Source organism: Homo sapiens, chromosome 11 (assembly GCF_000001405.40).
Source record: "Homo sapiens chromosome 11, GRCh38.p14 Primary Assembly".
Taxonomy (NCBI): Eukaryota; Metazoa; Chordata; class Mammalia; order Primates; family Hominidae; genus Homo; species Homo sapiens.
In genome coordinates this window covers 35,067,224-35,081,071 of record NC_000011.10, presented here as the reverse complement: position 1 = coordinate 35,081,071, position 13,848 = coordinate 35,067,224, and the positions used below count along the sequence as shown (strand labels likewise).

Genomic DNA, 13,848 nt, shown 5'->3' with positions numbered 1-13,848 from the left:
TTTGCAATCCAAGACAGGATAACCTGGGGAGCCCCCACATTGAAGGTGGCATCTGGGTTAAGTCTTGACAGAAGAGGATGTGAGCTGTCATGGTGTCTGGGGAAAGAACATTCTGAGACCAATCAAGAGTCCACTGAGGCTGAAGCAGTAAGTGAGGGGGTGGGAAGCGGGGAGGCTGGAGTGTGAAGTGCCAGGTCAGGGAGGGCCGTGAGGGCCACTGGGCTTTTCCTCTGAGTTAAATGAGGAGCCATGAGAGTTTCTTAAGTGAAGAATGGACACGATTTGACGTCTCTTTGAGGGTCACTTTGGCTGCTGCATGGAGAATAGAGGCAGCATTGGGATGGGGGGTGCTACTGAATCTCTGAAGTCTGATCTCACTGTCAAAAAGGGGAATTGGAGCTGGGCACGGTGGCTCACTGTAGCTCACACCTTTAATCACTCCTTGACTCTTTGGGAGGCCAAGGTGGGAGGATCGCTTAAGCTCAGGAGTTTGAGACCAGCTTGGGCAACATAGTAACACCTCATCTCTACTAAAATTCAAAAAAAAATTAGCTGGGCATGGTGGCACATGCCTGTAGTCCCAGCTACTCAGGGGGCTGAGGTGGGAGGATCACTTGAGCCTGGGAAGTTGAGGCTGCTGTGAGCCCTGATGGTGCCACCACACTCCAACCTGGGTGACAGAGCTAGACCCTGTCTCCGAAAAACAAAATGCTAGGAGAAGGACAGGAATTGGAAGGTTTTAGAGAGGTTGAAGACCAGAGTGCCACAAAAACTTTCTCTTATGTCATCAGGACTTATAGAAACTGGAAATACTTTGGGCGTATTCAGTGTTAATTAATGGTGTCCACACACCCCCTAAAATCATCTTGGTTATCACCAGTAGTTCATTTCCCACTGCTTGGAAAATGTGGTCTAGAGAAAGGCCAAACGTTCACCACACAGAGAGACTATAAGTTTGTCTGCCCATGGAGGTTCCCTTCAGGTGGCTGTTATTCAGATGTGACTTAAGAGACCCTAAGTTTGACCCTCTTAACTGTATAGCTTGGACTAAAATTCAAAATGTAAGCTGTTTTATTCAAATGCAGTGGGGTCACTAATTGATTTACACACTCTCAGCTGTGCGAAAATATGCAGCTTCTTTGTTTTCTGTAACTGATCAAATCTTCCCTGTGCGCCCTTAACCCTGTGGAGAAACGAGGAAAAGACCAGACTTACACAATCAGGGACTCTTGGTCTCTTCCAGCATCCTTAAGTTCCCCAACGTTAGCACCTGTTTCTGTGGTTGGTGGGAGTGGCATTACCATGTGACTATGCATGTGGGAATCAGGTCCTATGCTAGTTCCCCTGAGGTGATCCTGGTTTAGGCCCTCCATTGGCATGCAATGGCATTCATAGCTGTGGAACACTGACAATGTCATTGTCCCTAGAAATCAAAGTCCTTGATCTCAGTGGCTTCCACTTCCCAACCTCAGGCCTCTACATTTTCAGCAATCTCCCTTGAATTTCCCTGACCTTTACCGGGGCCTGTAGAAACATAGGGAAACATCACATTGCTGTCTATGAAGGTTCCTCTGTCTGCTAATGCTGCACTATCTCATTCAAGCCATGTTAGACATGGTGCCAAGACAAATACGAGGCTTCTCCTAGGTGCTTTCAGCCTCCTCCAGGCCATGTGTGGGAAAGTATGTCACTTGCCCAATGTTCTTAGGTTCCTAATACCTTTCTAAATGCTTCTATAGCCCGCCCCCAACAAGGCTTGACCCCAAGGAAGAGTGGAGGCAAGACCCTAATATTTGAAGGTCACACTCTGCCTCTATTTCTTTCTCATTCACAATCTCTCTTGGGCAGGAAGGACTGAACTTAACCTTTTGTCCCCTTCCTTTCTGGTAAGAACTTTCCCCATAAAATTTATTTTCTTTTGTTAAAATGGCACCCATTCTGCCTGCTTCCTTGAAGCCATGATAGTGTGTCAGATGTGCTCTCAGGGAAGTGGCCAAGAAGGCAGAATTAGGAAAGCAAGAGGTTTCTTGGGTGTGTTAGTTCTGGCTGCTGTAACAAAGTATCACAGACTGGGTGGCTGAAACAACAGAAGTTTATTTTTCACAGTTCTGGAGGTGGAAGTCTAAGATCAGGGTGCCAACATGGTTGGGTTATGGTCAGGGCCCTCTTCTGGGTTGCAGATTCCAACTTCTCATTGTATCCTCCCATGGTGGAAAGAGTGAGAGAGCTCTCTGGGGTTCTTTTTTATAAAGGCACTGATCCCATTCACGAGGGCTGTACACTCATGACCTAATTGTCACCCAAAGTCCCCACCTGCTCATACCATCACCTTGGAGGTTAGGATTTCCACATATGAATTTTAGGGGACACAATCATTGAATCAATTGCATTGGGAAATGAAGACAAAATGGGGAGGAAACAGGATTGGACTGCATGAGCCTCAGAGCTCAGTGCAGACCTGACAAAGTTTTGGCTCACTTCATGGGCATTTCGAAAACAAATATTGCTCATTTGAGGAGCCCCATGTTGAAAGAAATGGCCAAGCCATAGCAACCCCTCTGTGCTCAGCCCTTCTCTGGGGGCTGCCCAAGAAGAGGATGGCCTGAGCTTCAAAGATGAGACAATGCTAAGGTGCAAACAGCTGGGGGCTGCAAACTAACTGCACTCCTTGCAGCTGAACAGCAAGTTCTTTCTCAGAGGGAGATCCTCATGGGTGCCTCCAATACTGTCACAGTGGTGGAAAGGTCACTAGAGAATGATTGGTAGGGAAGAATAATGAAAATCCCATCAGTTTAATGTTTTGTAAGTGTTTTTTACATATTGCCCAAGCTTCTAAAGTCATCACTGAGCATAATCTTTGCCCACATCCTCTTCACTGCAGGTGAGGTTTATCCACTGTGACCACAGCATACAGCAAGTTACACAGATTTGACTTCTCTTGAACCTTTCCCAAGAACATCTTCACAGAATATAGTGCTGGGGTGATGCCTGAAAACTGTGAGCGTGGTTCTCACAGAGTCTTCTGCTTTTTATCTCAGAGATTTCCATGAAACCCAAAAATCTCCATTTTAATTTAATGTTTGGAACCAGGAAGTGCCCAGCAGTTAATCTAAACCTGTTTTTACCACGACAGCATTCTGTGTACTGCCCGGGAAATGTCAATGGTTTGTTGATACCAAATTAATGATGCATATCTCTAGCAAAGAAATCTCCAGTGAGTCAGAAACCAATCGTCAAACTGTCCGTCCACCAGGTTTCCTTCCTGTGAGTCACTTTAAGAAGGTTGACTTCTTCTTTCTCTGTTTCCAGCCTTTCTCTGGTTTAATCAATGAGAGTTAAAGCCATATGATAATTCTTGGAAGTATTGACAGATGTGACTGGTCCTCCCTCCTGGACAAGCCTTGAAATGGAAGTGATAGAGAGGAGATAAAAGGAGGTGGGAAAGGAAGTATGTAGACAGAGGGAGAAACAAAAAGGACCAGAGGTCTAGAAATTTCTTACTGCCCCAGAAGTTAAAACATTGTTTTGTTAATCATAATTTATCACAAAGGTGGCCAGTTTCCGGGGAATTGTGTTGCCAGACAAAATGCGGGACTCTCACTGAAATTAGAATTTCAAATAATAAATAATTTTAGTATAATTATGTCCAATGCAATATTTCAGACAAACTTACATTAAATTTTTTTCTTTGTGTATCTGAAATTCAAATTTAACTAGGTGTTCTGTATTTTTATTTGCTAAATCTGACAACCATATCTGGGAGATATTTTAATTTCCATTGCATTCCTTTTGTTGATGAGTGTGATGAGCTACTATATTGAACAGGAAGTAGAGAGGATAGCGCCATCCTCTTATTGTCTAGCAGAAAGATCCAGGTTATTTGGACTTAATAGTTCCTTACTCCCGGGGCAGTCTCTGCCTTCCCAGCCCCACTCAGCACTGAGCATTTCAAACTGACCATTGGCTGAAACCCATCAGCCAATCATTGAAACTGGACTTGCTGTCCTTGCTTTGGAATTGTCTATATCTATTATAAGGTGCGCTTGGATTTCACAAGCCTAATGAGCCTCATTCTTGCCTTAATCCTCCCCATGTTTGTCCAATCAATAGGAGAGATCTTTTGCTTTGGTTTCTGCCTACACCTGGGGTCTTGGACTCTAGACTATTCAGATACGGTCTTGACATCCTGCCTAAACCTTGCCATTTCCTTCTTTTCAGTGGTTTCCCTCAGTCCATGATAAACATATCACTTGGAAACACAATACTGCCTCCAAGCCTCACCATCTTCTAGGACAGAGGTTGCCAAACATTTTCTGCAAAGGGCTAGATAGAGTATATTTTTGGCTTTGCAAACCCTGCAGTATCTGTCACAACTCCTCAATTCTGTCATTGTAACATGTGAACAGACATGTGCTTCTGTACAGCATTATTTATCAACAAGTAAAGCTGTGACAGGTCACGGGCTATGTTTGGCCCAAAGGCCAAAGTTTGTTAACCTCTGTTCTAGAAGAGCCTGGGATCTTGCCTTTCTTGCCAAAAAGTTTCCACTTAGTTATAGATGCTGGCCTATTAGCTCAAGGAGCCACGTATTGTTTACTTAATGTGATGCTGATGGCCTCTCTATGACTCCATCAGAGACCAGTCCTATTTTACAGCCTTGGCACCCTCATCTTGGGCTTGGCAGTTCCAAGCTTTCTTCTCTTCCCTCTACCAGCTTCTGAGGTCCCTGCATGACTTGCTGATGAGCACACTCAATAAGCCAACTTCTACTTGTTTCCACACTATAGCTAGGATCCACTACCCCCTTTATTTCCACAAATGCTACCTTACTTTGAGACTTAGTTGCCAATGCTTTGGACTGACTCTGTCTCATCTTTGTACTTCTACCTGAGAAATCTTCAACTGCTCATCACTGCTGATATGATTTCCTTTGCATAATAAGTCCATGAAACTACCCACCAGTGCTGAGAATGGTTTGCCTTATAATAGCTATGGATTTAAAGAAAAACCCTTCTCTCTCAAATGATTAAAAATACCTTGCAGTAGGACAAAAAACCAAACAATGCATGTTCTCACTCATAGATGGGAATTGAACAATGAGAACACCTGGACACAGGAAGGAGAATATCACACACCAGGGCCTGTTGTGGGGTGGGGGGAGGGGGGAGGGATAGCATTAGGAGATATACCTGATGTAAATGATGAGTTAATGGGTGCAGCACATCAACATGGCACATGTATACATATGTAACAAACCTGCATGTTGTGCACATGTACCCTAGAACTTAAAGTATAATAAAAAAATATATATATATATATATATACTTTGCCGTAACCAGGCAAAGGCAGCTAGTACACGGCTATAGGGATACATGTAAAGCACTTTAGCATGAAGAAAAATCAACATTATGAATTGTATTAATGTTGTTCTTAAAAGTAATTCTATGACCTTAGAACAACATTGCAATGGTGTGAAAATGCAAAGCAGATTTTATAAACAACCAAATATGTGTATGAATACATCCATTTATTCACAAGGGCAGGACTTTGGAACCCAATGAATGAATTTCAAAAATAAAATTTTAAATTAGGAAAAAACAACAATTTTGAAACCAAGTCCACACAAATCTATAAAAATAATGTTGATTGGCTACTGTTCTGGGTCAGTGTGACCACTTTGACTACACATCCTTTTAAGGGATAAATATTTCTCACAAAAGTTAAGTGCAATTGAAGGCTTTGTAAGCCAAATCCTATTTTAAATACAGAGAGCTCATTTTTTAATTTTGGAGATGTCCTTCCCTCATTTTAAAAAATATGTTTTTAATTTATTTTCTTACATTATAACAGATTTTCAATAACCATTATATCTGTAAATTGAAACTCTCTATACCTTCCTAGGAAGAATCTGTTTTGAGTCATCTGAACTCCTTCAAACCAGTCAACTATTACAATTTAATTATGATGAGTTTGGAAAAAATCTAAAACCATCAGATATTTACATTACTGCCATTTTGTGGTTTGATTATAGCTAATTGCATTACACCAGTGCTCCGCAAATACTGGTGAATTGAGGTAAATGGCTATGTAATAATTGTGATCAATGGTCAAAACTTTATTAACACACTTTTTAACAGGTGTATTTGGGATAATCATTATACAATAGACTGCACATATTTAGAGCATACAATCTGATAAATTCTGACATAAGTATAAACCCATGAAACAATCACTACCTTCAAGATAATGAACATATCCATATACCCTAAAAGTTTCCTTATTCCCCTTAGTAATCCCTCCCTCTCATGTCTTCCCATCCGTTCCCTACCCCATCCCCATGTAACCACTGATCTGCTGTCACTATAGATTAGTTTACATTTTCTAGAATTTTATATAACTGGAATCCCACACTATGTACTCTTTCTTGTCTGGCTTCTTTCATTCAGCAAAACTATTTTCTCCATATTAACGTGTGCATCAATCATTCATTCCTTTTTATTGATGAGTAATATTCCAATTTGTTTGATAACTGTTTTAAATACAGTTTGTGCATTCATCTGCTGATGGGCTTTTGGGTTGTTTCCAGTTTGGGGCTATTAGAAATAAAACTGCTATGAACATTCATAAATAAGTCTTTATATGGTTGTATGCTTTCATTTATCTTAGGTAAATACCTAAGAATAGAATGACTGGGTCGTATGTTAGCTATGTGTTTAACTTTCTAAGACACAGCTGAACTGTTTTCCAAAGTGTTTGTACTACTTTACACTCCCTCCAGCCATATCTGAGAGTTCCATATATGAGAATCCCAGCTCTCCTACATCCTCATTAACATTTGGTATGGTCAGTCTTTTTAAATTTTTGCCATTCCAATATGTGCCCATATTAGGTATTTCTGATGTAGTTAGGCTTTGTGTCCCCACCCAAATTTTATCTTGAATTGTAATCCCCCAGGTGTTGAGGGAGAGATCTGGTGGGAGGTGATTGGGTCATGGGGGTGGTCCCTCTCATGCTGTTCTCATGATAGTGAGTGAGTTCTCACGAGATCTGATGATTTCATAAGTGTTTGACAGTTCCTCTCTTACTCACTCTTCTCTCTCCTGCTGCCATGTGAGAAGGTCCAAGCTTACTTTCCCTTTGCCTTCCAACATGATGGTAAGTTTCCTGAGGCCTCCCCAACCAGTCAGAGCTGTAAGTCAATTAAACCTCTTTCCTTTATAAATTACCCAGTCTGGGGTATTTCCCTATAGCAATATGAGAACAGACTAATACAATTTCATTATTACATTTCATTATGTAATTTGCATTGCCCCAGTGACTAATGGTGTTAAGAACTTTTCCATGTGCATATTTGACTCTGATGTATTCTTTGGTGAAATGTCTTCCCAAATATAAAATTTTTTAAATTAGGTTTTTTTGTTTTCAGTTTTGAGAATTCTTTATATATTTTGGATCCAGATATCATAACTATATAATTTGCAAATATTTTCTCCCAGTCTGTAGCTTGTCTTTTTATCCTCTTAACAAAGTTTTTCACAAAATGTTTTTAAATTGTTGATATAGTCCAGTTTTTAAATGTTTTCTTTAATAGATCATGCTTTTGGAATTCTTTGCCTAGTTTTAGATCCCAGATACTTTCTCTTCTGTTTTTTTCTATATGTTTTATAGTTTTATGTTTTATATTTAAATCCATAATCCATTTTCAGTTAATTATTGTATAAACTATGAGACTGAAGTTGAGGTTGTTTTTTTTTGTTTTGTTTTGTTTTGTTTTGTTTATGCTTATAAGTGTCTGTTTCTGCTTTTTGAAAAGACTATCCTTCCTCCATTGTATTGCTTTTGCACCTTTGTCAAAAATCAGTTGGTGCATCTGTTTAGGTCTACTTATGGGTTCTGTTTCTTTGATCTGTGTGTCTGTCCCTCAACCGTGTCATACAGTTTTGATTACTATAGCCAGATAAATAGTCTTGAATTGGAGTAGAATGATCGCTGCCACCTTATTTTCTTTTTAAAAATTACTTTAATTAGTTATGTTGCCTTTTCATATAAATTGTAAAATAATCTTGTCTGTATTTATAATATATCTTGCAGGGTCTTTGATAGGAATTGGGTTAAACCTGTATGTCAATTTGAGGATAACAGACATCTTTACCATGTTAAGTTTTCTGATGCATGAACACAATATATGTCTGTCCATTTATTTAAGTCTTCTTTAATTTCTTTCACCAGGCTTTTGTAGTTCTCAGCATATACTTCTTGCAAACATTTTGTTGGATTTATACCTAAGTACTTTACTTCTTTTTAGCAATTGTAAATGATATTGTATAGTTACATTTTATATCCACATGCCCATTGCTAGTTTGTAGAGATAAAATTGTCTTTTCTTTTTCTTTTCTTACCTTCTTTTTTTTTTTTGAGACAAGGTCTCGATCTCACCCAGGCTGGAGTCGCAGTGGCACAATTTCAGCTCACTGAAACCTCTGCAACCTCTACCTCCTAGGCTCAAGTGATCCTCCCACTCAGTCTCCAGAGTAGCTGGGACCACAGACGCTTGCAGCCACACCTGGCTATTTTTGTAGAGATGGGATTTCACTATATTGCCCAGGCTGGTCTCAAACTCCTGAGCTCAAAGCCTTCTGCCCACCTTGGCCTCCCAGAGTGCTGGGATTACATGTGTGAGCCACCATGCCCAGCCAAAATGGCCTTTCTATGTTTATCCTGTATCCTGTAACCTTGTTGAACTCATCTTTCAGTTCTAGGAAGTTTTTGTAGATTCCCTCGCATTTTCTACATATACATTCATGTCATAAGGACGATTTTACTTCTTCCTTTCCAATACATAGGCCTTCTATTTCTGTTTTTTGGGGTTTTTTTGTTTGTTTGTTTTTGCCTTAATGCACTCACTAGAACTTACAGTACAATGTTGACTAAAGATGATGTTGAATAAGGGTGGACATCCTTGCCTCTTTCCCAATCTTAGGGGTAAAGCATTCAGTCTTTCACTATTAAGTACAATGGAAGCTGCAGGTATTTTGTAGCTACTCTTTATCAAGTTGAAGAAGTTTCCCTCTCTTTGTATTTTTCTGACAGCATCATGAATGGGTATTAAATTTTATCAAATACTTTTTCTGCATGATTTTAATATGATCACGTGATTTTTCCTTTTTAACCTGTTAATATGATAGACTACATAGATTTTCAAATACTGAAACAGCTTTGCATCTGTGGAATAAATCCCATGTGGTCTAATCTATAATTCTTTTTACATACTGTGAATTCTATTTGCCAATATTTTGGTAAGGGTTTTTGTATTTATATATATGAGAGATATTGGTCTGCAGCTTCTTTGTTTGAGCTGTCTTTCTCTTGTTTTGGATCAGGGTAACACTAGCTTCAGAAAATGAATTAGAATGTGTCCTCCCACCTCACTTTTTCTATTTTATGGAAGCTATTGTTATTCTTTTTCAAATGTTTGTTAGGGTTCTTCAGTGAAATCATCATCAATGTGTGAAAATTTCTTTGAGAGGAACAGTTTTTATTTTAATTACTAATTCAATTTCCTTAATATTTATAGTGCTATTAAATTATCCATTTCATATTGGATAGTTGTGGTAGTTTGTGTTTTTTGAGAATTTGGTCCATTTCATTGAAGTTGTTCAATTTATATATGTAGATTTGTTCATAGTATTTCCTTATTGTCTTATTTATTTATTTATTTTGAGATGGAGTCTTGCACTGTTGCCCAGGCAGGAATGCAGTGGCGTGATCTTAGCTCACTGCAAGCTCTGCCTCCCGGGTTCACGCCATTCTCCTGCCTCAGCCTCCCGAGTAGCTGGGACTACAGGCGCCTGCCACCACACCCAGCTCATTTTTTGTATTTTTAGTAGAGATGGGGTTTCATCATGTTAGCCAGGATGATCTTGATCTCCTGACCTTGTGATCTGCCTGCCTCGGCCTCCCAAAGCGCTGGGATTACAGGCGTGAGCCACCGTACCTGGCCCCTTATTGTCTTTTTAAGTCTGCAGGTTTTATAAAGATTTCTCTTGTTTCATCCCTGATACCAGTCATTTGTGTCTTCTCTATTTTTTTCTTTATCAGTTCTACTAGAAGTTTGTCTATTTTATTGATCTTTTCAAAGAACAAACTGTTTCAGTGATTTTCTCTATTGTTTTCTGTTTTCCTCTTCATTAATTTATGCTCTTTATTATTTCCTTCTTTCTGCTTGCATTGTATTTATTTTTGTTCTTTTTTATTGAGATGTGAGTTTAGATGACTGATTTGAGGACATTTCTCTTTTCTAATGTATGCTTTTAGTGCTATAAATTTCCCTCTCAGTACTGCTTTGGCTGTGTCCCACAAATTTTGATACTTTTTATTTTCATTTTCATTCAGGTAGGTGAACAGTTTTTTAAAAATTCTCTTGAGCCGTCCTTTTTGATCCTCTTTCTAAATAACCAAGTTTATTTAAAAGCTTGTTATTTAGTTTTCAAGTGTTTGGAGAATTTTCTGTAACTTTCTATTGTTTTTAATTTCATTCCATTTGGGCTAGAGAACACACTCAGTATGATTTCAACTCTTTTTAATTTGCTAAATTTTGGAGGTTTTTTTGTTTGTTTGCTTTGTTTTTATACACTAGGATATGGCTTATCTGGCGATATATTCTGTAAACACTTGAAAAGAATTTGTATTCTGCTGATGTTTGGTAGAGGGCACTATAAATGTCAGTTCCATCCTAATGGTTGATGATGTTGAGTTCTGTTGAGTTCTTCTATATCCTTGCCAATTTTTTGTCTAAGTAGTCTATCAATTGTTAAGAAAGGAATATTGCAGTATTCAACTATAATTGTGAATTTGTTTCTTTTTTTTAAATTCTATCAGGTTGGGTAATTTTTATTATTCCCTCTTCTAGTTCACTGATTATTTCCTCTTTCCTCTTTATTCTGCTGTTTAGCTCATCCACTGAGTTTTTACATCAATTATTGTATTTTTCAGTTCTAGAATTTCCATTTATTAACTTATTCCTTCTATTTCTTTGCTGAGACTTTCTATTACTTTCCTGAGACATTCTAGTTTTACATTTTTTCCAAGTATGTTACTAATTGCCCCTTGAAGCATTTTTATGAGGGCTACTGTAAAATAATTGTAGATAATTCTAACATGTCTATCATCTTGATAAGGGAATCTATTGTCTGTTTTTGTCTTGTTCCATTTGAGATCCTGGTATGACGAGTGATTTTTAAATTAAAACCTGAACATTTGTGGTGTTATAAGACTCCGGATTTTATTTAAACCTCTGTTTTCACTGGCTTCCTCTGACATTGCTCTGGCAAGGGAAAGAGGATCACCCCTCATTACTGCCATGTGGGGACAGACGTTCATGTTCCACATTTAACCTCTATGGACACTCAAGGAAGCTCCTCATTACTGCTGGATGGGGGTCAGTGTTTTAGCTCCCCAGTAGGGCTCCACTCATACCTCCCTGGCTGGAAGGAGTATGAATGCCTTATTACCGCATCTCCCATGGCCTCCACTGATGCCATGGGGAGAGTCACACTACTGCTGTGACAAAGGTCCTGACCCTGCACTAGGCATCCTCTGACATGACACTATTTGGGGAAAGAGGGAGGGAGAGGCACCTCTTCACTGCTGGGTGGAGGTAAAACTCCAGGCTCCCACATAGTCTCCACTGATACTGTGGTGTGGATACTTCTTCTCGCCAGGCAGGAATAAAGTCCTGATTTTCTATTCAGCATTTTCTGACACCACCCTGGAGGAATGGTGGAGGTAAGAAATAGTGTTGCGGCCCTTATTACGGCCTAATTAGGGTAGAAATCTAGAGTCCCCATTAGGCCTTTCCTGGTATGACTGGAGATGGGGCTACAGTGTTTTTCTTGTTGTTGTTGTTTTGTTTTTCCCTGTTGTGTCTGACTGGAGTAGAGTGGTTCTGGTCTAAAGGTCCTCTGTCTTGCTGGGCTACTCATTTCCTGTTCCTTGGCTAAAGAGAACAGTCTTTTGTTGTGGCTTTTTTTGTCTGTGCCCATTGGCATTTCTAGGTTATCATCTTCCTTATTCCCAAGTCTGGAATAGCTGCGGCAAAAAGAAAGCCCAGGAACCCAGAGAACTCACCATTGTTTTGTTCCATGGTCCCTAAGTCCCCAGCCAATCTACATTCTTCTCTTCCCTTTAAAGCCTTTCTACCTTTGTTTTATATATAATGTCCAAAGTTTTCCATTGTACTTAGAGGGAAAAAATAGGAAAACATGTATCTACTACATCTTCTTTGAAGCAGAATCACTCATTTGGTTTTTAGGGAGTTATTCTCAAATTTTATTGTGAAAAATAGTATGTTCCAGGAAGCAATATTTTTATCCCAGGTTTAAAAGAATTAAACACTGACTTCTGTTTTCTTTTCTTTTTTTCTTTTTTGTTTTTTTAGCACAGGGTTTCACTATATTGCCCAGGCTGGTCTTGAAACCCTGGGCCCAAGCAATTCTCCCACCTTAACCTCCCAAAGTGCTAGAATTACAAGAATGAGACCCCATGCCCTGTGGAGACTTCTGTTTTAAAAGCAAATAGTTAATTCCCAGTTTACTAATCTTTCTTTTTCTTTAATAAAGCTTTCATATTGGGTTTTCTTTAAGTATTATATACTTGCACCCAAAAAGAAAGTCCTCTCAACAACAATATATTATAGGAGGTCACTTAACAACTGCACAATCACTCCCCAAGAAGGTTCTTTAAAATTAGTTTGACCATTGTGGAAAACAGTGTAGTGATTCCTCAAAGACCTAAAGACAGAAATACCATTTGACCCAGCAATCCCATTAGAATACCCAAAATAATATAAATTGTTCTACCATAAAGACACATGCATGCATTTGTTCATTGCAGAACCATTTACAATAGCAAAGACATGGAGTCAACCTAAATGCCCATCAGTGATAGACTGGATAAAGAAAATATGGTGCACATATAGCCTGGAATACTATGCATCCATAAAAAAGAAACAAGATCATGTTCTTTGCAGGAACATGGATGGAGCTGGAGGCCTTTTTCCTTAGCAAAATAACATAGGAACAGAAAACCAAATGCTGCATAGTTTCACTTATAAGTGGGAGCTAAATGATGAGAACACATGGACATGTAGAGGAGGACAACAGACACTGGCTGGGGCCTATCAGAGGATGGAGGGTGGGAGGAGGGAGAGGATCAGGAAAAATAATTAATGATTATAGGTTTAATAGCTGGGTGATGAAATAATCTGTACAACAAACCCCTGTGACATGAGTTTACCTACATAACAAACCTGCACATGTGCTCCTGAACTTAAAATAAAAGTTAATATAATAATATTAATAATAATAAAACAACTATTGGTAAAATTAAAAAAAAATTTTTATGCGACAACTGTTGTTCAGACATGGTATCTTCCCCAGATGAAGTAGCATGTTCCAACAACAGCAGATTCTAGATGAGATTCTAGGTGGCCAGGAAATACAGGATGATATTTCTATTAAGACACAAAATTGTTCTATAGTGGAACACCAGCCCCTTTGATTTCCCCAAGTGGACTGTCCACTGGCTGCTATATTACCTACGGTGCTCAGCAAGCTCTTTTCCCATTTCTTTGAACAACAGAGCTTATCAGTCCAACCTTGTTCTAATTACTTGCTACCAAGTTTTCACACCTAGAGGCACAACTATGTACTAATGAAACTTTGGGGTCAGATGAATTCAAATTTGAATTGTATGACTGGTCTCACTCCCACTCTTGTGGCTACAGATGGGCTAGATCCCGTGACTGAGCAAAAGGGGAGAGAGAAGGAAGTGGTTTCTCTCAAAGATAAA

General features: G+C 39.1%; 1 annotated feature.

Annotated features, from left to right (window-relative positions):
• Positions 2,929-2,978: an enhancer, noted in NCBI's record as "active region_4613". NCBI's record gives its function as "activates an Ori minimal core promoter by ATAC-STARR-seq in GM12878 lymphoblastoid cells {active_cell/tissue: GM12878}" and the evidence as "EXISTENCE:reporter gene assay evidence [ECO:0000049][PMID:35858748]".